General features: G+C 38.3%; 1 protein-coding gene across 4 annotated transcripts in view, besides 2 other annotated features; it reads right to left on the bottom strand.

Annotated features, from left to right (window-relative positions):
- The window catches only part of LRP1B (LDL receptor related protein 1B), a 1,899,594-nt gene that overhangs the window by 181,809 nt on the left and 1,690,762 nt on the right, over positions 1–27,023 (bottom strand). The window lies entirely within an intron of this gene.
- Positions 13,014–13,533: an enhancer, noted in NCBI's record as "NANOG hESC enhancer chr2:141183814-141184333 (GRCh37/hg19 assembly coordinates)". NCBI's record gives its function as "activates a minimal SCP1, AML or CMV promoter by ChIP-STARR-seq in primed H9 embryonic stem cells {active_cell/tissue: H9 hESC(primed)}" and the evidence as "EXISTENCE:reporter gene assay evidence [ECO:0000049][PMID:30033119]".
- Positions 16,924–17,453: an enhancer, noted in NCBI's record as "NANOG hESC enhancer chr2:141187724-141188253 (GRCh37/hg19 assembly coordinates)". NCBI's record gives its function as "activates a minimal SCP1, AML or CMV promoter by ChIP-STARR-seq in naive H9 embryonic stem cells {active_cell/tissue: H9 hESC(naive)}" and the evidence as "EXISTENCE:reporter gene assay evidence [ECO:0000049][PMID:30033119]".

The raw sequence follows: 27,023 nt of genomic DNA on the forward strand, positions 1-27,023 counted from the left end.
AAGGTTATATTTGGAAGCCTAAGAAAAAATAAAGTCATCTTAATCCTTTATCTTCAGTCTTCAATTTCTTGTATACTCCAGATGTATTAACACTGGTTTTCCTTTCTCTGCCAATGTTTAATAATGTTTGCTTTAGAGAAAATCCCCTTAGAGACAGATCTGAACTAAGGTTTCTAATAGAAAATCTGTCACCGTGAACCTCTGTTGTTGCCTGCTAAAAGACAACGCTACACCTAGAAAAGCATTAGTTGAACAATTTTACCTTGCCTTGTCTGAGACATAGCTGGAGAGCCAAAGGTATCAATTTTTATTCTAAACTAAAAACATTTAAACAAGAAGACACTTACCATGTTAAAAATAAAATTTCATATACCATTTTTTGAAGAAAAAATATAAATCTTAAAACTATTTGTGTTATCTTCACAAACATTCACATACCAGGAACCATCTAGCTATCATATCATTTGCAGAAATATTTATTCCACGATAAGCAAAATATCATCTCCACTTCAGCAGGAGATGTTGGCACATAATTAAGTTGGTCCTTTTCAGAAAGTTTGCAAGGCTGTCATCTATTTATTGATAAAATGGAATTTCCATTTCTAATGGAATTTCAAGTCTAGTACAGTTTTTATTTTACTCTCTTAAAAGATAGTTCATATCTTTTTTTCCAGAAATACTTTCTAATTTATTTTTATTTTTCAAAGACAGGGTCTCATTCTGTCAGCCAGGTTGGAATGCATTGATGCAATCAGCTCACTGCAACCTCAAACTCCTGGGCTCAAGCAATCCTCCCACCTCAGGAGTACCTGTGACTGCAGGTGCATGGCACATGGCACCATGTCCAGTTACTGGTTTATTTTTTGTAGAAACAGGGTCTCACTATGTTGCCCAGACTGGTCTCAAACTCATAACCTGAAGCAATCCTCCCACCTTTACCTTTCAAAGCACTGGGATTACAGGCATGCACCACCACACAGGGCCCATCTTTTTTCTATTAACTGTAGAAGCACATATTATTTTTGTACTCAAGACTCAAAGTCCTTTGCTTTTATCCCTAAAGGCAATTAAATCATAGTTATTTAGTTTCAGCTTCCTGTAATTTCTACAACTAAATCTCTGATCTAGGGCCTCACATAATAATAGTAAAATATTTAAAAAAAAATACACTTATTGTTCTGATCTCGTTAGCTTAAGTCACCTAAACAATCCACATTTACTGTAAGTCAACTGCATGTAATAGTGATTTACCTAATAAAAATATGCCCTGGTTGAGGTAATGCCTCTATGGGTTTTGTGTTTTGTGGGAAGTCAGGGACCCCGAATAGAGGGACCAGCTGGAGCCGCGGCAGAGGAACATAAATTGCAAAGATTTCATTTTAATATGGACATTTATCAGTTCCCAAATAATAGTTTTATAATTTCTTATGCCTGTCTTTAATCTCTTAATCCTGTTATCTTTGTAAGGTGAGGAGGTACGTCACCTCAGGACCACTGTGATAATTGTGTTAACTGTACAAATTGATTGTAAAACGTGTGTTTGAACAATATGAAATCAGTGCACCTTGAAAAAGAACAGAATAACAGCGATCTTTAGGGAACGAGGGAAGACAACCATAAGGTCTGACTGCCTGCAGGGTCAGGCAAAAAGAGCCATATTTTTCTTCTTGCAGAGAGCCTATAAATGGATGTGCAAATAGGAGATATATCGCTAAATTCTTTTCCTAGCAGGGAATATTAATATTAGTACCCTGGGAAAGGAATGCATTCCTTGGGGGAAGTCTATAAACGGCTGCTCTGGGAATGTCTGTCTTATTCGATTGAGATAAGGACTGAGATACACCTTGGTCTCCTGCAGTACCCTCAGGCTTACTAGGGTGGGGAAAAACTCTGCCCTGGTAAATTTGGGGTCAGACCGGTTCTCTGCTCGTGAAGGCTGTTTTCTGTTAAGATGTTTATCAAGACAATACTTGCACTGCTGAACATAGACTCTTATCAGTAGTTCTGCTTTTGCCCTCTGCCTTGTGATCTTTGTTGGACCCTTATCAGTAGTTCTGCTTTTGCCCTTTGTCCTGTTTCCTCAGAAGCACGTGATCTTTGTTAGACCCTTATTAGCAGTTCTGCTTTTTGCCCTTTGAAGCATGTGATCTTTGTACCTACTCCCTGTTCTTACACCCCCTCTCCTTTTGAAACCCTTAATAAAAACTTGCTGGTTTGAGGCTCAGGTGGGTATCATGGTCCTACCAATATGGGATGTCACCTCTGGCAGCCCAGCTGTAAAATGCCTCTCTTTGTACTGTCTCTCTTTATTTCTCAGCCAGCCAACACTTATGGAAAATAGAACCTACACTGAAATATTGGGGGTGGGTTCCCCCAATATATGGGGAAGAGGTAAATTCTCACCAAAGAACGGAAGTGGAATGCGTCCATTCCTCACCTACCATAGTTTCTCTGCCTTTTTCTTAAAGCCTGGCCTGAGTTCTGAACAGGAGCAGACATCCTGCCTGTGTCCATGTTTCCCCTGGTTCTAGTCCCCACCCATTCCTAACTCTCTTGTCTTTTGCCACACTCCCCTCTAGTCTTGAAGGAATTAAAGTAGCAGCTGCACATAGAAAAGAAATGATGATAGTTGGTCTTGGTCCAGTTATAGAAGTTGCAAATGCAAGTTTGGCTAGTGGCCTTTCACCAGAGACACTGATTTTCCTCGAGAGGCCATGGATTCCTGTGCAATACATTTGCATCAAGGCTGAATTGGTCTCCTAGTGCAGGGGTCCCCAACCCCTGGGCCATGGATGAGTACTGATTGGTGGCCTGTTAGGAACCAGGCCGCACAGCAGGAGGCGAGTGGCAGGCGAGCTAGCCAAGCTTCATCTGTATTCACAATGGCTACCCATTGCTCACGTTACGACCTGAACTCTGCCTCCTGTCTGATCAGCTGTGGCATTAGATTCTCAATGTGAACCCTATCGTGAAATGCATATGTGAGGGATCTAGGTTGACCATTCCTTAGGATAATCTAATGCCTGATGATTTGAGGTGGAGATGAGGATGATACTAGAGCTGATGAGTGGCTGAAAATACAGATTAACATTAGCAGATAATAAATCAATTGTTTGAAGACTCATATCAAAACCCTATCAGAGGCCAGGAGTGGTGGTTCATGCCTGTAATCCCAGCACTTGGGGAGGCTGAGGTGGGCAGATCACTTGAGCTCAGGAATTTGAGACCAGCCTAGGTAACATGGTGAAACATGTCTCTACAAAAAAATACAAAAATTAGCCAAGCATGGTGATGCATGCCTGCAGTCCCAGTTACTTAGGAGGCTGAGGTGGGAGTATGGCTTGAGCCTGAGAGGTGGAGGTGGCATTGAGACGTGATCATGCACTGCACTCCAGCCTGGGCAAGACAGCCAAACTCTGTCTAAAAAAAAAAACCTGTCAGTGAGTGGCAAGTAACAAGCTGCATCTGGTGGCAGGCTTTATAGTGGCAAGTGAATCCATGTACTTCAATTGCACAGCTGCATCTGGTGGCAGACTTTAAGTCAGAATCCAAAACTTATTTTAGTCCATGTGTGGTTCACCCATTATTTTATTTACCACATCCATCCATGCCTCTTGCCCACACTGCACACTTGTTTCAGTCACAGTTTTGGAAAACCCACAAGCTAAAATTGATTAAAAACAAAGGTCATCTGAGAGCTTCTTTCAAAAAGGGGAAAGACCCAATGATGAGACAGCAGAAGACTCTAGGACTGTCAACAAAAAGAAAACTGCATTTAAAAGAAAATACTCGCTTTGTATAACATGTGGCAACCAGCTTCCCAACTAAGCCAGGAAACCTTCAAAACTGCTTTGCCACATGGAGACAAAGCACCGTGCATTAAAAGACAAGCCTTTGGAGTTTTTCAAAAGAAAAATAAAAAATGAACATGAAGAACAGAAGCAATTATTGAAGGCTAACACTTCATCAAATGTGTCCGCACTGACAGCATCATTCTTAGTGGCTAACCACATTACTAAAGCTAAGAAGCCCTTTACTATTGGTGAAGAGTTAATCCTGCCTGCTACTATGGATGTTTGCTGTGAACTTTTAGAAAAGGCTGCAGTTGAAAAGGTGGCATGTTTTCCTCTTTTGACTAAAACCATAACAAGACAAACTGCTGAAATAGCAGAGGATATTAAGGTACAATTGTCAAAGAAGATTAATGAATCACTATTATATGCAATCCAGGTTGATAAGTCTACTGATGTTAATAACAAGGCAACAAGGCTTGTTTTTGTGCAATACATTTTTCAGGAGGATGTGCACGATGATGTTATGTGCACTTTTGTTGCCAACCAACACCACAGCTGCAGAACTATTCAAGTCTTTGAATAATTACATATCAGGAAAATTAAGTAGGTCATTTTATGTCAGTACATGCACAGATGGAGTGGCTGCCATGACTGCACGGCTTTCTGGTTTCACTACTCAGGTCAAAGAGGTTGCCCCTGAATGTGAGTCTACACACTACATCACCTATAGAGAAATGTTGGCTAGCCAAAAAATGTCATCTGAACTTAACAGCATTTTACAGAATGTGATTAAAATTATCAGCAATACATTACATGCCTTCAGCATGTGCAGTAAAATACATGCCCTTAACTCACATGTGTTCACGCAGCTCTGTGAGGGGATAGAAACAGAGCACACACGTCTCCTCACTGAAGTAAGATGGGTTTCTAAAGGTCGATCACTAGCCAGAGTTTTTGAGTTATGAGAGCAACTTCAGAGATTTCTTTTAGAAAACCACTGGCAGCACATTTCAGCGACACAGAATGGGATGCAAAACTTGCCTAGTTGTGTGACATATTCAACCTGCTTGGCAAACTCAATCTATCACTTCAGGGGAGAATGACAACTGTGAACAAATCAGCAGATAAAGTGGCTGCATTCAAAGCCAAACTGTAATTACAGGAGTGAGGAGAGAACATTGTGATTTTTGATATGTTTCAAACATCGCAGAGATTTTGAAAGAGACTGAACCAGGACTTTCTTTCTCCCACTTGGTGGATGATCACCTATCTTAGATTTCAAGAGTTTGAACATTACTTCCCAACCACAAAAGACCCCTGAATTATGAAGGAGTGGATCTGTGACCCATTTGTGAAAAAGCCAGTTGAATCGACTTTGTCTTTGCTAGAAGAGGATCAACTACTTGAGATCACAAATGACGGTGGTCTTAAAAGTATGTTTGAGAAAGCTTCAAATCTTCATATGTTCTGGATTACAGTCAAGGCAGAATATGCTGAGATTGCCACAAAAGCACTGAAAAGCCTCCTTCCATTTCAGACATCCCATATTTGTGAAGCAGGATTTTCTGCAGTAACAGCAACCAAAATGAGACTACAGAGTACACTGGATATAAGCAACACACTTTGGGGGTCGGTGTTTCCCATCACCCCCAGATGAGATTATCTAGTTGCAGTAAAACAAGCTCAGGGCTCTCATTAAATTATGGTGAGTTGTATATTTACTTCATTATATATTATGATGTAATAATAATAGAAATAAAGTGCACGAAAAATGTAATGTGGCTTGAATCATCCCAAAACCATACCCCTCCCTGGAGAACAGTCCATGAAAATTGTCTTCCATGAAACTGGTCTCCGGTGCCGAAAAGGTTGAAGGCTGCTGTCATAGTGTGTAAGGAACCACCATTCTTAGTAACTTCTTAACACAGATAAATCTCTGGATTTTAAAATAACCCATTCAAACCTGGCTTTGCCTATGGACTAAATAAATATAAAACACAGACATGCCTGACAATCCAAAGTTATTTCACATCACTGCTATTTAGGGAAACATTTCTGAGCATCAAATATGGGACAAAAACACAAAGAGTATAGGTATTCCATGCTAATAATAATCAAAAGAAACCTGGAGAGGCCACAATCATATCAAAGTAGATATCATAGCAAAGAATATCACCAGATATAAAGGTTATTTCCTAATGATAGATGAATCAGTTCATCAAGAGAAACATAATTCCAAAAATGTGTGCATTAACAACAAAATTTCAAAAGATAAGTGAAAACTGGTAGAACTGAAGAGAGAAATAGACTAATACCCAGTTATAGTCAGATATTTCAGTAATAACCTCATAATAAGTGTTAGAATAAGTACACATACACAAAAATTCATAAGGATATGGAAGACTTAAACAATATTATCAACTAATTTGTTATCATTGAAATGTATAGAACAGTCCACCCAAGAACATCATAAGACTTTTCAAATGCACATGGAAACCTTATCAAAATAGGCCAAATTCTAGAGAATAAAAAGTACTTTGATACATTTTAAAGGATTCAGGTTTTGCAAAGTATATACTGTGATCACCAATGAAATCAAATTAAGACAAACAAAAAGCTGGAATATCCCAAATCATTTGGAAATTAAACAATATATTCTAAATAACTCCTGGTTCAAAGGATAAACAAAAAGTGAAGTTAGGCCAGGCATGGTGGCTCATTCCCATAATCCCAGCACTTTGAGAGGCCAAAGCAAGTGGATCACTTGAGGTCAGGAGTTCAAGACCATCATGGCCAACATGGTGAAACCCTGTCTTTAATAAAATTACAAAAATTAGTCCTGCATGGTGGCACATGACTGTAATCCCAACTACTTGGGTGGCTGAGGCAGGAGAATAACCTGAACCCAGGAAGCGGAGCTTGCAGTGAGCTGAGATCATGCCACTGCACTCCAGCCTGGGTGACAGAGTGAGACTCTGTCATAAAAAAGAAAAAAAAAAAAAAAAAAGGAAAGTTAGAAAGTAGTTTAGAACTGAGTGAAAATAAAAACACAACATATGAAAATATATGAGCCGATGCTAAAGCAGTATTTAGCATCAGCATTTAGAAATTTATAGAAAGTAAAATTTATAGCAGAAAAAAAAACTTGGATGCAGATAAAAAAAGTGCAATGGTTAATATCACAAAAACAATCAGTTCAATAAAAAAAAAGAATTTGAACAGATTCTTTACTAAAGTAGATGTGCAAATAGCAAATAAGCCCACAAAATGCTGTAAAATATCATTAGTAATTAATTAAATATGAATTAAGATATACTACACATCCATCAGGATGGCCAAAATTTAAATGAAGGAGTTGTTCCCAAGGATGTGTAGGAATTGCAATTCTCAAATACTGCTAGTGGAAATGTAAAATTGCACATCCACTTTAGAAAATAATTGGTATTTTCTTTAAGGGTTAAAAATATACTTACTATGTAATCCTGTCTTCAGAGTAAAGAAGTTATATGTCCATACAAGGACTAATACATGAATGCTCATAGCAGTTTGATTTGCAATATTCTACAACTTAAATAAACTCAAATGATCATAAATTGGTTAATGAATAAAAAATTAGTATATCCACACAACAGAATACTTCTTAGCCATATAAAAGAATTAATATTTGATAGATCCAGCAACAGGGAGAAATCTCAAAATAATTGAGTGAAATAAGCCAGAGAAAATGAATACATGCTGTATGACTTGTTTTATGTAAATGCACAGTAATCTAGTGACTTCAAGCAACTAAGTGGTTACCTATGGAGGCAGGGGTGCAGGAAGCAGTGGGAGGGAAATTTCTAGAGGTGATAAATAAGTCCGTTATCTTGATTGTGTAGAGGGTTTCATGGGTATATACAACTTTTAAAACTTATCAAATTGTACATTTTAAATATGTGTGGTTTCCTGGGCTGGGCACAGTGTCTCACACCTGTAATATCAGCACTTTCAGAGGTCAAGGTGGGTGGATCACCTCCGGTCAGGAATTCAAGACCAGCCTGGCCAACATGGTGAAATCCCATATCTGCTAAAAATACAAAAATTAGCCAGGGATGGTGGTGCGTGTCTGTAGTCCATCCACTCGGGAGGCTGAGGCAGGAGAGTCGCTTGAACCCTGGAGACAGAGACTGCAGTGAGCCAAGATTGCACCACTGCACCTCAGCCTGGGCAACAAAGCAAGATTCTGTCTCAAAAAAACAAATAAATAAAAATAAATATGTGGTTTCCTGTATGTCAATTATATATCAATAAAGTTGTTAAAAGAATGCATAAACACACTGCTTATACAGAATTGTGATGCTATGATTTTGTGCAAACTATATAATATTGGCCGGAAGATTTATACTGGTCACTAATGTCCTTTAACACTAATTATTATACTGAATACATTTTTTTTCTTGCCGACTCTAATTATGTAATTTTCCCCTTTCCTGACAAGAAATGCAAGATTTCACAAAATAATTCTTTGTCTTAAAATACCATGTTATTTAAAAAAGTTTATTATTTGTCCCCTTCTCTCTCCATTGTAGTATGCAAAAATGGGTGTTTGGGTCCATATCAATGCTAATTATTGAGCAAAAAGTGCTCAAGAAATAGACAAAGCATAATTTTAGGGTCTAATGTAAGTTAAGTACACATATATCTTTACTTCTTTTTAACCTCTCATCAGCTTTCTAAGGCCAAAACTATTACACCCATTTGCAAATGAAGAAACAGTGAAGGACTGAGTAAGTCTACCCAATTATTAAAGGTTCAAAATCAAGAATCAAGCTCTGCTTCTAGTAACTCTTGAGCTTATGGATCTTCTCCTGAAACTGTCCAGTGCCCTGCCACATCACCCTTTCCATCCTGCAGACGAAGGGATGAAGGGGCAACTCAGTGTGCAGGTTTGACAGAAATGTCAGTGGGTCTATATAGTAAAGCCTTCTTACAGGTCAAGCCAATTTTGTACACTAATCAAGCACAGAATATTGAAATGATTAGGAGGGAAGGTAGTACGGACACAAAAAATAAAATGTTATTTCTTTTCTTCACTCCTCAAATATTTATCGGTGTCAGATTCTGTACTAGGTACTGGGTACATATTAGAGAATAGAAGATACATAGAACCAGTTTTCTGGAACTTAGCAAAAGAGATATTCGATCCTTTAAGAAGGCAACATGAAAGCAGTACATAAATATACGACACCGAAAATCTGGTAGAATGTATGTGAAGTTTCTAAAACTGGGGATAAGATGGTGTCATAGAAGTTGGCTATGGGTCAACAGTGTGAACACTGGTTTTATTTGCTTGTAATCAAATACAATGTTATAGTACAAAAGCAGGCACACAGCAGTGGAGAACAGTGAGATATTTAACACATTATATGACTAAATATGCTGCATTATTTTCCATAGGTCACAACCAAAGCATATAACTTGGGAAAGTTTCAGGGGAGAGATAGAAAGCTGATTAACAGAATGGAAAATATAGCCCATGAAGAGAGATGAAACAAAATGGAATAATTTGGCCAAAAGGTGATGAAAGAATTTGATTTGAGAGTCCTTAAACAAAGGATTTTTATACAAAGGATAACGTTAGGTTATTTAAAATTTCTATTGAAAAGGATAAAAAGAAGAAACCAGGCTTAAATTAGAGCCTGGGGATGTTTATCTAGACATAAAAAGAGCAGTAATTGTTTATTTGTTTTCTTGTTTAGATCGGGGATGATAGATGTGGCCCTACTTTAACCCGATGACCTCCATTGACCATTTCTACACAAACATTCAATGAACTTTATAGGAATATATGTACTCTAGATGGAAATGTGTGGATTTGACATTTTCGGTCCTGCCTTTTATTGCGGCTTAGAAATGCATTCCATGTTAATTCAGCAAGATGGTTAGTGATCACTTTCCATCTGTCAGTAAGATGCTGAAAATTACCGAGTCACAGCATTGAGCCAAAAAAACAAAACCAAGTCGATGAATAATTTTGCAATGTCAAGAAGCAGTAAATTCCAGCTGTGAAAATTGAGTAGCATGAAAAAAGCTCTGGAATTTAAGGCCGGCCTCACCACCTCTCACCTTACACCAGTAGCTCTTGGATGATGGTCATACCGTTAGCCAATAGAATCCCATGTAATTGCTGTGGGTTTAATTATTCTAAACTAGAATTTTTAGTACCCTCATTTCTTGCATTAATTTCAGTGCCAATCAATACAGCATTTAGTGCCAACATTTAACTGTATCTCCCCCACAAAAAATCTGGACAATACAAGCTCAGTGGTCAAGTTCCATAAAATAAGGAAAGAAAAGGAAAGCTTTTTTTTAATTAAAAATTTTCAATACATTGAAGCAAATCACAGTGTTAATAAACTTTACTTTTGCATGGCAAAGTTATTGAAAGCATACTAAGTATAAGTATTGTTAGAATGAATGGAGGTTCTCTTATAAGTCACTCATATTTTAATCTATTTAATAATTATTTATTCATCCAAATTAAAAAGAATAATTTATAACAATAATTCTAGAATTGATTATCTCTACTAATAGATCCCCAGTATTATTTACTCTTTGCTTATATTGGGAGGAACTTTAGATAAAAACAATGCAGGCATCATTTTTAAAAACACTATTACAGTTCCTTAAATAGCTTGTGTAACACATAGAGCTAGAGCTTGAGGAATGTATCTATTCCCAAAAAATATTCCTAGTATGTACCTACAGTGAAATAAATATATACATACAGTAATCTAGACATTATCAAGAAATGTAACAGAAACCTTGAGCCACTTACATATACAAAATCAATAAAATATTATGCCCTGAAAGACATAATATCACTAATATCGCTAGAAAAGTTTTCAGGAAAGAGAAACTACATAATCTAAAAATTAAAACTGTATTTATATTAATTCATTCTGTTAATGAATAATGTTTACTCAACATCTACCATGTTCCAAAATGAATAACACTATTTTTGTCCTCAAAGAAGGTTGACTTTGAAGACTCACATGTTTTAGTCTGTATTGACAAAATCTGAAACATATTCATTGTGGAATTATTTACTAGGACCTGAATTTTAAAATCAAGAAAGAGATCAGGAAGAAGCACTGAGTGGGGAGGGCTTCCTTAAAAAAGATAATTTGGCATAGATCTTTTTATCCAGTCAAAATTATATGAAGAATTTTTCCAGACCCAAAAAAGTTAATCCAAAAAATTTTTTAAAATTACGAAGTATTTAAAATTCTTCTCAAATTTCAAAGGAGAGTTAAATATTTTTATGTAAACCATGATTATTCATTCCTTTAAATAAAATACAAAAAATCCTATAAGGTCACTTGCCATGTTTAAATTTGTCTCTGGATTCATGATACAGCTGTGGCCTAAATTTGCCACAGAAAATTCTACTTTTCCAGTAAACCTCACCATGCTTATAGAAAATTCACGAGCATTCATGAAGTGCAATACTGAAGAAAAGTTACAGACATTTTTTAATAGATGACCATCTCCAAAAACTTACAGTGCCAACATATAAACTGAGATAATCTTGGAATGTTGCAGGGAGTGGAATTCCCTTTAGAGTACATGTGTTGCTGTCACAGTCCATATTGAAGAAGACAATGTTTTCAAAAGTGTATCATGCATGACACAGATGGTAAGCTGTGGATCACACAATACACCAGATAGTTCAAACAGTGCGTGAACATGCTGCTAGATAACCTTGAAGGGCTCAGGAGGAAGTTTTGAATTGGTCAATTCTCTTTTGTTCTTCCTGGTTGCTGCCTTTAGAAAAGTTCAGTCAAGGATAAAGAGAGCTTCTCTGACACTTAACTAATCTCCATTTTTAACAAAAAGCTGGGTTTTGGTAGGCTAGTGTCAAATTAGAATTATTTTAAAGTAGAATTTAATAACATTGCTTATTTTATTGTATTTATTTTTATCTCTATGGTCAACCACTAGATTTCTATTTTCGATTATAATCCCTGGCCTGGTCTTGGAGGGACGTTTTTTTTTTATCACTGACTATGTTTAGAATTGCCATTGGCAGGTTTATGAGATTGAAAAGCAGACTGATTTTTGATTGGTTTATCATTGCTCTCAAATGTCTATAGACACTGTACCCCTATATTGCCCATCCTATGCCTCCTCACTGTTAGTGACAATAGATAGTAATTTTAAGACTATTGAAATACATATTTTTCTGATAAAAATTACCTATTCCATTAATTTGTATCTGAGTCTTACTTCTCTGCCTAATTACAATCTATAATAGATCAAGGAAGCTGTATTGAGTAATGGTTGGGTGTGAGTCTGGAGCCAGATCCCACTGATTCAATTATCTGTTCACCCACTTTCTTCCCCCAGCCCCGCCGAGACAGAGTCTTGCTCTTGTTGCCCAGGCTGGAGTGCAGTGGCATGATCTTGGCTCACTGCTCACTGCAACTTCCACCTCCTGGGTTCAAGCGATTCTCCTGCCTCAGCCTCCTGAGTAGCTGGGAATAAAGGTACCCACAACCACACCTGGCTAATTTTTGCATTTTTAGTAGAGATGGGGTTTCACCATGTTGAGCAGGCTGGTCTTGAACTCCTGACCTGGTGATCCTGCCTCAGCATCCCAAAGTGCTGGGATTACAGGAGTGAGCCACCGTACCCGTCCCTGTTCACCCATTTTCTGTCTGGGTGACTATGAGAGAACTCACACTCCCTGAGCTTTATTTCCTTAAGTATAAAATAGGAATAATAACAGTGTAGCTCTCATAGGGTTGTTGTGAGAATTAAATAATATTTTATACTTATGTGATCATCCACATAAGGCACACAGCTAATACATAGCACTTAATAAGCTTTCAACACTATTATTTGGAACATTCAACTTCTTTGGATTCCTGGAGTTACTAATAAAATGGCTTAATATTTTCAGGTGTTCATTAATTTGTTAAATAAAGAAATTTTATAAAAATTCAAAATCAGTTTAATTATACAAGTAGAATATTAAAGAAAACAGATAATACAAACTGAGCCCAATGCTGTGGGATACACTGACAGTATCCTGAAATGTTAAAGTGCTTGATGCTTCCTCTGCCAAGAACAGGAGGCGCTGGCTTGAGAGTGCCTTGACATTCAACCTTGTGTGTAGTTCTTCAATTTCTCATTTGTAATACCTGGCTTTGAAATGACATATTCCCAATATTAAGAATCATTTGAAAAGCTAAGCTGTAATTATTTGTACTTGGACATTACAAAAATGGACATGGTGAATTCTGAAAGAAAAAATGTATATTTTTGCTTATATTGTATGCAGTAATTATCAATTTTCTTTTTTCTGACTCAATGAAATATTTCTTTCAGGCCTCTGAGCCCAAGCTAAGCCATCATATCCCCTGTGACCTGCATTTACACATCCAGATGGCCGGTTCCTGCCTTAACTGATGACATTCCACCACAAAAGAAGTGAAAATGGCCTGTTCCTGCCTTAACTGATGACATTATCTTCTGAAATTCCTTCTCCTGGCTCATCCTGGCTCAAAAGCTTCCCTACTGAGCACCTTGTGACCCCCACATCTGCCTGCCAGAGAACAACCCCTCTTTGACTGTAATTTTCCTTTACCTACCCAAATCTTATAAAACAGCCCCACCCATATCTTCCTTCGCTGACTCTTTTCGGACTCAGCCCGCCTGCACCCAGGTGAAATAAACAGCCTTGTTGCTCACACAAAGCCTGTTTGGTGGTCTCTTCACATGGACGTGCATGAAATTTGGTGCCGTGACTCGGATCGGGGGACCTCCTTTGGGAGATCAATCCCCTGTCTTCCTGCTCTTTGCTCTGTGAGAAAGATCCACCTACCACCTCAGGTCCTCAGACCAACCAGCCCAAGAAACATCTCACCAATTTCAAATCTGGAAAGCAGCCTCTTTTTACTCTCTTCTCCAACCTCCCTCACTATCCCTCAACCTCTTTCTCCTTTCAATCTTGGCACCACACTTCAATCTCTCCCTTCTCTTAATTTCAATTCCTTTCATTTTCTCGTAGAGACAAAGGAGACACATTTTATCCGTGGACCCAAAACTCCGGCGCCGGTCACGGACTCGGGAAGGCAGCCTTCCCTTGGTGTTTAATCATTGCGAGGACACCTCTCTGATTATTCACCCATGTTCCATTGGTGTCTGATCTCCGCGAGGACGCCTGCCTTGATCATTCACCCACGTTCCCTTGGTGGCAAGTCAATTGCGAGGACGCCTGCTTTGGCTGCTTGCTCACCCACGTTGCAGCCCAGGGCTGCTCCCCACCCCCCTTCTCCGTGTCTTTACCCTTCTCTTTAAACTTGCCTCCTTCACTATAGGCAACCTTCCACCCTCCGTTCGTCCTTCTTCTCCCTTAGCCTATGTTCTTAAGAACTTAAAACCTCTTCAACTCTCACCTGACCTAAAATCTAAGTGTCTTATTTTCTTCTGCAATGCCACTTGACCTCAATACAAACTCGACAGTAGTTCCAAATAGCCAGAAAACGGCACTTTCAATTTTTCCATCCTACAAGATCTAAATAATTCTTGTCGTAAAATGGGCAAACGGTCTGAGGTGCCTGATATCCAGGCATTCTTTTACACATCGGTCCATCCCTGGTCTCTGTTCCCAATGCAACTGGTACCAAATCTTCCTTCTTTCCCCACCACCTGTCCCCCTCCGTCCCAACCCCAAGCATCACTGAGTCTTTCTAATCTTCCTTTTCTACAGACCCATCTGTCCTCTCCCCTCCTCGCCAGGCCGAGCTAGGTCCCAGTTCTTCCTCAGCCTCCGCTCCTCCACCCTATAATCCTTTTATCACCTCCCTTCCTCACACGGGGTCCGGCTTACAGTTTCATGCCGTGACTAGCCCTCCCCCACCTGCCCAGCAATTTCCTCTTAAAAAGGTGGCTGGAGCTAAAGGCATAGTCAAGGTTAATGCTCCTTTTTCTTTATCCCAAATCAGATAACGTTTAGGCTCTTTTTCATCAAATATAAAAATCCAGCCCAATTCATGGCTTGTTTGGCAGCAACCCTGAGATGCTTTACAGCCCTAGACCCTAAAAGGTCAAAAAGCCGTCTTATTCTCAATATACATTTTATTACCCAATCCCAACATTAAATAAAACTCCAAAAATTAAATTCTGGCCCTCAAACCCCACAACAGGACTTAATTAACCTCGCCTTCAAGGTGTACAATAATAGAGTAGAGGCAGCCAAGTAGCAACATATTTCTGAGTTGCAATTCCTTGCCTCCACTGCGAGACAAACCCCAGCCACATCTCCAGCACACAAGAAATTCCAAACGCCTAAACCGCAGTGGCCAGGTATTCCTCCAGGCCCGCCTCCCCCAGGAGCTTGCTACAAGTGCCAGAAATCTGGCCACCAGGCCAAGGAATGCCCACAGCCCGGGATTCCTCCTAAGCCGCTTCCCATCTGTGCGGGACCCCACTGAAAATCGGACTGTTCAACTCACCTGGCAGCCACTCCCAGAGGCCCTGGAACTCTGGCCCAAGGCTCTGACTCCTTCCCAGATCTTCTCGGCTTAGTGGCTGAAGACTGACACTGCCTGATCGTCTCTGAAGCCCCCTAGACCATCACGGACGTCAAGCTTCGAGTAACTGTCACAGTGGAGGGTAAGTCTGTCCCCTTTTAATCAATATGGAGGCTACCCACTCCACACTACCGTCTTTTCAAGGGCCTGTTTCCCTTGCCTCCATAACTGTTGTGCGTATTGACGGCCAGGCTTCTAAACCTCTTTAAACTCCACAACTCTGGTGCCAACTTAGACAATACTTTTTTAAGCACTCTTTTTTAGTTATCCCCACCTGCCCAGTTCCCTTATTAGGCTGAGATATTTTAACTAAATTATCTGCTTCCTTGACTATTCCTAGACTACAGCCACATCTCATTGCCACCCTTCTTCCCAATCCAAAGCCTCCTTTGCGTTCTCCTCTTGTATCCCCCCACCTTAACCCACAAGTATAAGATACCTCTACTCCCTCCTTGGCAACGGATCATGCACCCCTTACCATCTCATTAAAACCTAATCACCCTTACCCTGCTCAACGCCAATATCCAATCCTGCAGCACGCTTTAAAAAGATTAAAGCCTGTTATCACTCGCCTGCTACAGCATGGCCTTTTAAAGCCTATAAACTCTCCTTACAGTTCCCCCATTTTACCTGTCCTAAAACCAGACAAGCCTTACAAGTTAGTTCAGGATCTGTGCCTTATCAACCAAATTGTTTTGCCTATCCACCCCATAGTGCCAAACCCATATACTCTCCTATCCTCAATACTTCCCTCCACAATCCATTATTCTGTTCTGGATCTCAAACATGCTTTCTTTACTATTCCTTTGCACCCTTCATCCCAGCCTCTCTTCGCTTTCACTTGGACTGACCCTGACACCCATCAGGGTCAGCAAATTACCTGGGCTGTACTGCCACAAGGCTTCACAGATAGCACCCGTTACTTCAGTCAAGCCCAAATTTCTTCCTCATCTGTTACCTATCTCGGCATAATTCTCATAAAAACACACGTGCTCTCCCTGCTGATCGTGTTTGACTAATCTCCCAAACCTCAATCCCTTACAAAACAACAACTCCTTTCCTTCCTAGGCATGGTTAGTGCAGTCAGAATTCTTACACAAGAGCCAGGACTGCACCCTGTAGCCTTTCTGTCCAAACAACTTGACCTTACTGTTTTAGGCTGCCCATCATGTCTCCGTGCAGTGGCTGCCACCACCCTAATACTTTTGGACACCCTCAAAATCACAAACTATGCTCAACTCACTCTTTACAGTTCTCACAACTTCCAAAATCTATTTTCTTCCTCACACCTGACACATATACTTTCTGCTCCCCGGCTCCTTCAGCTGTACTCACTCTTTGTTGAGTCTCCCACAATTACCATTGTTCCTGGCCCGGACTTCAATCCGGCCTCCCTCATTATTCCTGATACCACACCTGACCCCCATGACTGCGTCTCTCTGACACACCTGAAATTCACTCCATTTCCCCATATTTCCTTCTTTCCTGTTCCTCACCCTGATCACACTTGGTTTATTGATGGCAGTTCCACCAGGCCTAATTGCCTCTCACCAGCAAAAGCAGGCTATGCTGTAGTATCTTCCACATCTATCATTGAGGCTACCCCTCTGCCCCCATCCACTACCTCTCAGCAAGGTGAACTAGTTGCCTTAACTCAAGCCCTCACTCTCGCAAAAGGACTACGCGTCAATATTTATACTGATTCTAAATATGCCTTTCATATTCTGTACCACCATGCTGTTATATGCGCTGAAAGAGGCTTCCTCACTACTCAAAGGTCCTCCATCATTAATGCCTCTTTAACAAAAACTCTGCTCAAGGCCGCTTCACTTCCAAAGGAAGCTGGAGTCATTCACTGCAAAGGCCATCAAAAGGTGTCAGATCCCATTGCTCTAGGCAATGCTTATGCTGATAAGGTGGCTAGACAAGCAGCTAGCTTTCCAGCTTCTGTCCCTCAAGGCCAGTTTTTCTCCTTCACATCGGTCACTCCCACCTATTCCCCTGCTGAAACTTCCACCTATCAATCTCTTCCCACACAAGGCAAATGGTTCTTAGACCAAGGAAAATATCTCCTTTCAGCCTCACAGGCCCATTCTATTCTGTCTTCATTTCATAACCTCTTCCATGTAGGTTACAAGCCGCTAGCCCGTCTCTTAGAACATCTCATTTCCTTTCCATCCTGGAAATCTATCCTCAAGGCAATCAATTCTCAATATTCCATCTGCTATTCTACTACCCCTCAGGGATTGTTCAGGTCTTCTCCCTTTCCTACACATCAAGCTCGGGGATTTGCCCCTGCCCAGGCCTGGCAAATTGACTTTACTCACATGCCCTGAGTCAGAAAACTAAAATACCTCTTAGTCTAGGTAGACACTTTCACTGGATGGGTAGAGGCCTTTCCTACAGGGTCTGAGAAGGCCATCACGGTCATTTCTTCCCTTCTGTCAGATATAATTCCTCGGTTTAGCCTTCCCACCTCTATACAGTCCGATAGCAGACCGGCCTTTATTAGTCAAATCAGCAAAGCATTTTTTCAGGCTTTTAGTATTCAGTGAAACCTTTATATCCCTTACGGTCCTCAGTCTTCAGGAAAGGTAGAACGGACTAATGATGTTTTAAAAACACACCTCCCCAAGCTCAGCCAGCAACTTAAAAAGGACTGGACAATACTTTTACCACTTTCCCTTCTCAGATTCAGGCCTGTCCTCGGAATGCTACAGGGTACAGCCCATTTGAGCTCCTGTATGGACGCTCCTTTTTATTAGGCCCCAGTCTCATTCCAGGCACCAGACCAACTTGGACTGTGCCCCAAAAAACTTGTCATCCCTACTATCTTCTGTCTAGTCGTACTCCTGTTCACCATTCTCAACTACTCATACATGCCCTGCTCTTGCTTACACTGCCGATTTACACTGTTTCTCCAAGCCATCACAGCTGATATATCGTGGTGCTATCCCCAAACTGCCACTCTTAACTCTTAAAGTAAATAAATAATCTTTGCTGGCGGGACTATGCTGAATCTCCTTAGGCACTCTCTAATTAGATGTCCTGGGTCCTCCCAATTCTTAGGCCTTTAATATCTGTTTTTCTCCTTCTCTTATTCCGTTTAGTTTTTCAATTCATTCAAAACTGTATCCAGGCCATGACCAATAATTCTAAATGACAAATGTTTCTTCTAACAACCCCACAATATCACCCCTTACCACAAAATCTTCCTTCAGCTTAATTCCTCCTACTCTAGGTTCCCACACCGCCCCTAATCCCTCTCGAAGCAGCCCTGAGAAACATCTCCCATTCTCTCTCCATACCACCCCCAAAAATTTTCGCTGTCCCATCATTTTACCACTATTTCATTTTATTTTTCTTATTAATATAAGAAGACAGGAATGTCAGGCCTCTGAGCCCAAGCTAAGCTATCATATCCCCTGTGACCTGCACTTACACATCCAGATGGCCGGTTCCCGCCTTAACTGATGACATTCCACCACAAAAGAAGTGAAAATGGCCTGTTCCTGCCTTAACTGATGACATTATCTTCTGAAATTCCTTCTCCTGGCCCATCCTGGCTCAAAAACTCCCCTACTGAGCACCTTGTGACCCCCACATCTGCCCACCAGAGAACAACCCCCCTTTGACTGTAATTTTCCTTTACCTACCCAAATCTTATAAAACAGACCCACCTGTATCTCCCTTCACTGACTCTCTTTTCGGACTCAGCCCGCCTGCACCCAGGTGAAACAAACAGCCTTGTTGCTCACACAAAGCCTGTTTGGTGGTCTCTTCACACAACGAACATGAACATTTCCTCAAAAGAAACTAACCAAATAATCAGAGTTCTGAGTCCATAAAGAGCTTTATTATTTCTGGAGGTAGTTTCTTGTGCCTCTGTGATTTCCTAATAGCCAGTTATTACTGCTCAGAGTCTGTTTGTATCAAGAATCTTGTGTTTTGGAGATTACAAACACCACACTGAGAAACTGGACAGTTGTCCCTAACGATCTGCTTCCTGAAGTAGAACTCATTATAGGACTGAGTGTATGCTAATTCCAACAGCACTAACTTCATCTGAAGAACTTCTAACAGAGATTTACAAAGTATTCCAGCAACCCATCATCTATGGACAATTTTAAGAAGCAGCTAGAAATATTTGTATAAGCTATCTAACATCCTGATACACAGATATAATGGCTGACAGACATACCTGTGTGATCCTTATATAGCAAAACTGTGATTAATTGAAATTAGGTAATATATTGGATTTCCTGACTCTTTTTTGTAGTTGGGATTCAGAAACTAATTACCAAGAAGATTAAAATAGAAACAGATTCTACACTTGATTTAAAACTTTTAATCTAATAATGTTCAGAATGAAAATCCTAAAGCCATATATGCTACTAAGTGTTATGAGACATTTTTGTCAATACAATTTACTTGGTAATAGAGGAAATTAGATTAAAACTTTAGAAGTGTCTCCAACAAGTTGAAACAGATGTTATACTTTTTTATTTTTTTGAGGCAGAGTCTTGCTCTGTTGCCCCGGCTGGAGTGCAGTGGTGCAATCTTGGCTCACTGCAACCACCGCCTCCTGGGTGCAACAATTCTTCTGTCTCAGTCTCCCGAATAGCTTGGATTACAGGCGCACATCACCATGCCCAGCGAATTTTTGTATTTTTAGTAGAGACTGGGTTTCGCCATGTTGACCAGGCTGGTCTTGAACTCCTGACATCAGGTGATCTGCCCGCCTCAGCCTCCCAAAATGCTAGAAGTACAAGCGTGAGCCACTGTGCCTGACAGATGTTATACTTGCAATAGTTTAATTAATTTAAAAAATGGTAAATAATTTCTAATATTTAAAAATAAATTTCCAGAGTTCTGATATGGAATTTTCATTGAGCCTGCCGCTCAGCATTTAATACGAATTGTTAGCACACCACTTCTAAAGAATTGATTTTAATGAACTAAAACAATATGCATTAACTTTATATTTTATATTTACACTTACAACAAAATGACTAATAACAAATTATTGTACATAGGCACATATTCTGTAACTTTTTATTAATTTAGTTTAAATATAAATTATAAGTTTAAGTCAGAGACCTGATTGCCTGAGTAAAACATACAGTTCACATACTATAAATACTATTAATCGAAATATAGTTTTGAAAACATTAGAACTACTTTAATTTCAATAAATAGTATCACTTTATATTTCTTCTGTTTTTTTTTTCTTCTTTTTTTTTCTCAAATATCAGTCAAAATGCAAGGGTATATCAAAAAGGAACATTTAAATACTGGGTGTGTGTCTCTGTCTTAGGACATAGAATTGAGAAAGGAAGTGCAATCATATGGATGATATGATCCATGGGAGTGAGAAACCTTAGGTCTCAGGGAAGATCTGTTCTCTACTCTATTTCTATGGCCCTTGAATAGTAATAGTTTCTTTCTTTCTTTCTTTTATTTATTTATTTTTTTTTCATTTTGAGATGGAATCTCACTCTGTCACCCAGGCTGGAGTGTAGTGGTGCGATCTCTGCTCACTGCAACCTCCGCCTCCTGGGTTCAAACGATTCTCCTGCCTCAGCCTCCCGAGTAGCTGGGATTGCAGGCAAGTGCCACCATGCCCAGCTAATTTTTGTATTTTTAGTACAGACGGGGTTTCACCATGTTGACCAGGCTGGTCTTGAACTCCTGACCTCAGGTGATCCATCCACTTCAGCCTCCCAAAATGCTGGGATTACAGGTGTGAGCCACCATACCCGGCCGAATAATAGTTTTCAAGTAACTTCTACTCTTGATCAAAGACAATTTCTTATGAAGATTTCTGAGGAATTAAAAATAATTTCTCTCAAGATTTTGGAGAAATAAAAATATTAATTAGAGAGGTAATATTTCAAAGGACAATAAGAATCTACAGTAACTTATTCTCACATCAGTAACCCAACAAGAGGTGACAGTTATTTTAAAACTAAATTCTGCACCACTTCTTCACTCCCTACTTTCATTATTTTCCACATGACCACTGAGCACATGACTGGTGGCCTAATTATATGAAAAACCTAAGCCAGACAGCTTGCATTCTAAGCATTAAATTTAAGATTGATTGGACATCAGAATCATCAACTATACCCCTCTGTTTAGTATACTCAGATCACAAAGCCAATAAATGCCACAGTAATAACTACGTGTCTTTTGTTATCATTATATTATGTCCAAGTGTTAATGGCTGAAAACAGCCTTTTTCATAGCGAAATCTAACACCATTTGGATCTTCAAACTGATGTTAACATATAAGCATAAGTGTAAGGTTTTTTTAAGGGGTAAAAAAATATATTTTCTATATATGATGAATTACTGGGTATTGGTGTTGAGAAAAAACATTAGAATCTTTCATTGTACTTATTTTTGATCACTAACACAAAGCATAATCAATCATATAGGCATGGTACTAAGCAAAACTGAGTAATAGCTAAAATTACAAATGCTAGAATATTCTCCATGGAAATTGCCAGCCCAAAAGATATTTCAACAGAATCTGCAAAACAGAAGCTTATAATCTAAAACAAAGACAAATATTTTTGTTCCAAAGGTAGGCCAAAAGAGGTAGAACTTTTAAATCTCCATATTTCTTACATATTTTGTTTTTTTCTATAAAGTATTTAACTCTGATTTTTTTCACATACTACTAAAAATCTGCAACTAGTTTTGTATATATGTAGTTTTAGAGAACTGAATATACTTGGCAAAGGACGAGAAAAGCAGCATTACAAAGATGAGTTTTTCAAACAAAAATATAACAGAATATTAAATTCCTGACTCAATTCCTTTTAAAAAGTTCAACTGCATCAATTTAGATTTCTAATTAAAGCAAATACAGCATTTCCCTTCTTTTCAAACTCAATTATAATCCCCACTGGGCAAAAAGCTATTTCTCTTACGGCTTTTGCTACCTATCAATCCAGAGTCTAGAATATTTGGCATGCCTCCTGACTCATTGTGTAGGCTCCTTTTTAGCTTTGTTCAACAAAATTTAAATCTCACAGTTTCCTGTTATTGTTAAGACAGAAAAAAAAAAAAAGAAAGAAACATCAACGAATAATTGCATATCCTTTTGGTGGAGAGTCAATGCACAAAAGTTACCAAAGGCATTGGATGAAAGCTATGAAAAACCTAATATGTTCATTCCACTTAGACTATTTAGTGACTCCCATGTAGTCATTCATTTCTCCTATAAAAGCTAGAGGACAATTTCCTGGTCCCATTCATACAGATAGGCTCTCCTTCAACGGTTCTATTGGAACCAAAACATTTCAATGCAAAATAAATGCCATTATGCGGGCTCTCTCTCACATACACACTCTCTTCCTTTCTCTCTCTCTCTCTCTCACACACACACACACCCAAATATACACACATAAATACATTCACACATACAAAAAGTCATTAGCAGAAAAGAGGAAAAGATTAAATTTGGCAAAACAAATAAATGGATGAAAGAAAAACACATGATATATCAAAAATTTTACCATAAAATGTAGTGATCTAATAATAGTACAAAAAATCTTACTGAATTAACAGAAGCTGCTTTACACATAGAAAATAAGTTCCCCACCCTACCAAGTTTGTAGAAAAATATACTTATTTTCATTACAGCTATTTTAAAAGTTTAGAAATATACCAGAAGTTAAATTATTTTTGAAAGCTTCCATTAAAAAGGATAATAGCATATGTACACATCATGATTTCAAAGAAGCAAGATCGAGCTATGTATTTTTTTAAAGTTTTAGAATTAGTTTGAAAATCAATCAACAGACACCAGTCACACATACATACCAGACAAAATGTTCAAAGTATATCCTGAGAAATAGTGATTCCACAGAATGTCATTAACTGTTATTTTACAATTCATCTGGGATCAAATAAGTATGGAATGCCGAGAAGTGGAAAGCAGTAAAGCAATATGGTTTTCATTTCTCTCTCTCCTATATTATACTGCTCACTGTCTTTTTTTTTTTTTTTTTAAATTGCCAGTGTGAGAAGTAGAGAAAGTGTCATCTCAAAAATGAGTAAGATATTAACCAGAAGTTTTTTTCAGGCAGGTAGAAAAATGTAAAGTTCCCTTCTGGATCCTGTGATATTGTGAAAAGAAAAAAAGAAGGGAAAGTTGTAGAAAGATCAGCTGCACATATTCTCAAGACAGATTGATATGGGATGGACCAAGACCTGGAAAGATAAGTGTCACACTCACCTGGATTTACCATGGGAAAAGGCCAAGCTTCTAGGAGAAACAATACTGGATGCACACAACATTTTTAAATATTCAGGAGTTATTTTGTGATATTAAAAGTGGGTAGAAGTTAGAAGTATAAGCTTGAGGCAGTATTCCTGGCTCCTCACAGGACCTGGGAGGTTTACAGGATCATGTGCTTCTGTAAGGATCTTGGCTCAACGAGTGTCATATATCAACAGCAACGTAAGATTAAGCAGCAGCTCATCAAGAATAAAGACTTGAAGAGAGCGAAACCCACAGTGCGTGAGTGAGGATGCCTGCACTTCACAGTCAGATTAGAGCACAGAGTGCAGATCAGACCAACCCCCATTAGAGACGAATGAGGTTCCAGAGACTGTGTGGATAGAAGGTCCTTTCTCCTTTCCAGCTGCTAACATGAAGGCACATAATCCCATGCTTCTAAACACCTAGATAGAGAGATACTGTGATACCATATGTTAGAAAATTCAAAATCTGTCTCCCAGCAGCTCCCTCAACACCTCCCAGCACACCCGCTTCATTCACAAGTCACAGCCACACAGGATAGGGGCACTGAGGATGTTCAGATAATCTGTTTGCTAGTCAAAATATAGTACATGTATTTATAATCCACATTTAAATTTGGGAAATACTGATTAAAAATACTACACAGATGTCCTAACAAAATATTTGTAAGTGTGGACCATTTTCCAAGATACAAAATTTAAGTACATTATCTTTACTGTATATAAAAGCACAAAGCTTTTCCCCCATAGGTTATCTTGAAATCATGCAACAAACAATTTCTAAATGTTATTCTAAATGGAAGTATATTTACAAAGTATATCTACATAGAATAGATAGATTTGCATATATGCATATTTACATAGTTGTATAATTACGTAGTACAAGTAAAAAATAATAAATGTGAATAATACATGATCACTTCAGGACAGTGGGAAGAAGGGGGAAAGGGAAGAGGTGGACGTTAGTTGTTATTGTAGAAATTTAAATGTTTTAACAGAGATATCTTATACCAAATTTTAAAAACCATTAAAAATAGAATATATTTGTTATATAACTTATATAACATGATACTTGTTATATAACTTACATAACATGATACTTGTTATATAACAAGTGTATATGTGTGAAATATTTCTTTTTGATTGTTTGTTTTTTCTGAGATAGGGTCTGTGTCTGTCACCTAGGCTACAGTACAGGTGCAACCATGGTTCACTGCAGCATCAATCTCCTGGGTTTAACCGACCCTCCAGCCTCAGCCTCCAGAGGAGCTGACACTGCAGGTGCTAATTTTTAAATATAATTTTTTGTAGAGATGGGATCTCACTATGATGCCCAGGCTGGTCTTAAACTCCTTGACTCAAGCAATCTTCCTGCCTTGGCCTCCCAAAGTGCTGGGATTACAGGCATGAGCCACCACTCCCAGCCTGAAATATTTTATAATTTAACATGTACTTGCTTTAACTTTAGGAAAAAAGAGTTATAAGGTATAAGAATACTTATAGCTTATAGCTATAACGGTATAGCTTAGAACTGTATAGCTTATAGCTATATATAGCTTAACTGCAGCTTATAAGCTTATAACTGTAGCTTATAACTTATAAATGTAAGCTTATAACTGTAGCTTGAGTAGTCTGTTTCAAATTTCCTGATCACATATTTAAAGGAAAATAAAAGAACATGTTGATAGGTTCTGTCTTTTGAGTTGAATGTTCTCAGTGTCATGTTGGGAAAGCCAGGTTGCGGAAAATACAAAGATACTGTAAAAAGTTCACGTTCTCTTCACAAGCCCTAGTTAGTGTGATTATAGCTAACACATTAATTAAAGATCATTAGCCAAACAGCAGGTTATAAACTGAGATTGTACAAAAGCAGCAAATGAGGCTGAGTCAACTTAGAGGCAAGAATCTTTTTGATAACTCAGAATTCTAGATTAGATGAAAGGATGCAGGAAAATAAGCAGAAAGCAAGACGACAGAGAGGAGTGATATGGCAGAGCAAAGGTGGGGGCTAGAAAGCTGGGGCATGAGTGCAGAGTTGACCACTAGAGACCAAACAGAAAATAACTGATAAAAACAGAAAATATTTTAGAGGCATTCAGAGAACTAAGAATCTAAACTGTAAACTGGGGAGAGAGAACATAATAGAAAGATCCAGATTCTAATATCATCTTATGAATCAAATTTTAGAAAAGTTACAACTCTGATTACTAAGCAGACATGTGAATCTAGCACAGTCTGTCAAATTCTTAAATATTCTATTAGTTCTTGAAATAGGAGAGAGTAGGCTGAAGGTGAAAAAAGTTTGAAGTTGAAATTCCAAATAAATACTCTGGAGCTGCTACAATTGGGATATTCTACTTATTTTGGTCAGACATTCAAATCTGGTGTTTGCCCAAGCTTGTAATAAGCAGTGCAACAGCCCTACAAGAGCAGTCAGCCTCTACAGTCTAATATAACTGTATTTATGTACATTTTTAAAAGCTTGTTTTTCCCTTGGTATAAAGTTTAAAAGAGCAGACACCTTCGAGTAAATAGAAGTGATTTTATATGAACTATTAACAACTCACAAAATGAATTTGTAACTATCTTGTCATGAATACGAGGCTAGCATAGATTTAAATCTTTACATACACAAAAATGGAGCTCCAAGATGTTCTTTAAAGACCTTTAGTAATTTAATCTAAATGTGCCAAATGTATATTTTTACAGATTCATAAATTTAGCCATCTCAAAAACTAGGCGTTAATAAAATGGGAAGTTATATATTTAATTTAATTTTTAAAATTTATATCCAAAGTCTCACCAAGACTAAATTATTAAGCCTGGTCTCCTAAACTATATTTAATTTACATCTATTCAAAGGCTCCTTAAATTAGAGATTAGTATATAATTTTTCCATAGATTGAATATTCGTTGTCAAAATTGTGAGTACTCGTAGACCCAAAAAATTATACCAGGCTAAATTCAATAAACATGGTATTTCAGTAAATATAAATATAGAATTTAAAAAAATTTACAATGATTATTTTAATTCCCCCCATTATATGTATATTTTGTATGTGTTAAGTTACTCTGCTTCATTTTTTTCATAGTGCTTCTCTCTCTTTCTCTTGCTTCTACATTGTTTTCTTTACATAATTTAAATAAAAACAGAACAAATTATTTAAATTAGAATATGTCAAGGTAGAACAAACTACAATGTTCGGACTTTAGAAATGAAATATCCAACTGATAATGGAACTATAGATAAATACAAATATTGGTGCTGAGAAGTAAGAGGTAACAACTAGGTGAACTCCAAGAGCATAAGAGAATTTCCCCTTGAATGTAGCATGGGTTAAGAAAAGTATGGACACAAACTGAAATAAAAATGGAT

The sequence above is a fragment of the Homo sapiens genome, chromosome 2 (genome assembly GCF_000001405.40).
Source record: "Homo sapiens chromosome 2, GRCh38.p14 Primary Assembly".
Classification (NCBI taxonomy): Eukaryota; Metazoa; Chordata; class Mammalia; order Primates; family Hominidae; genus Homo; species Homo sapiens.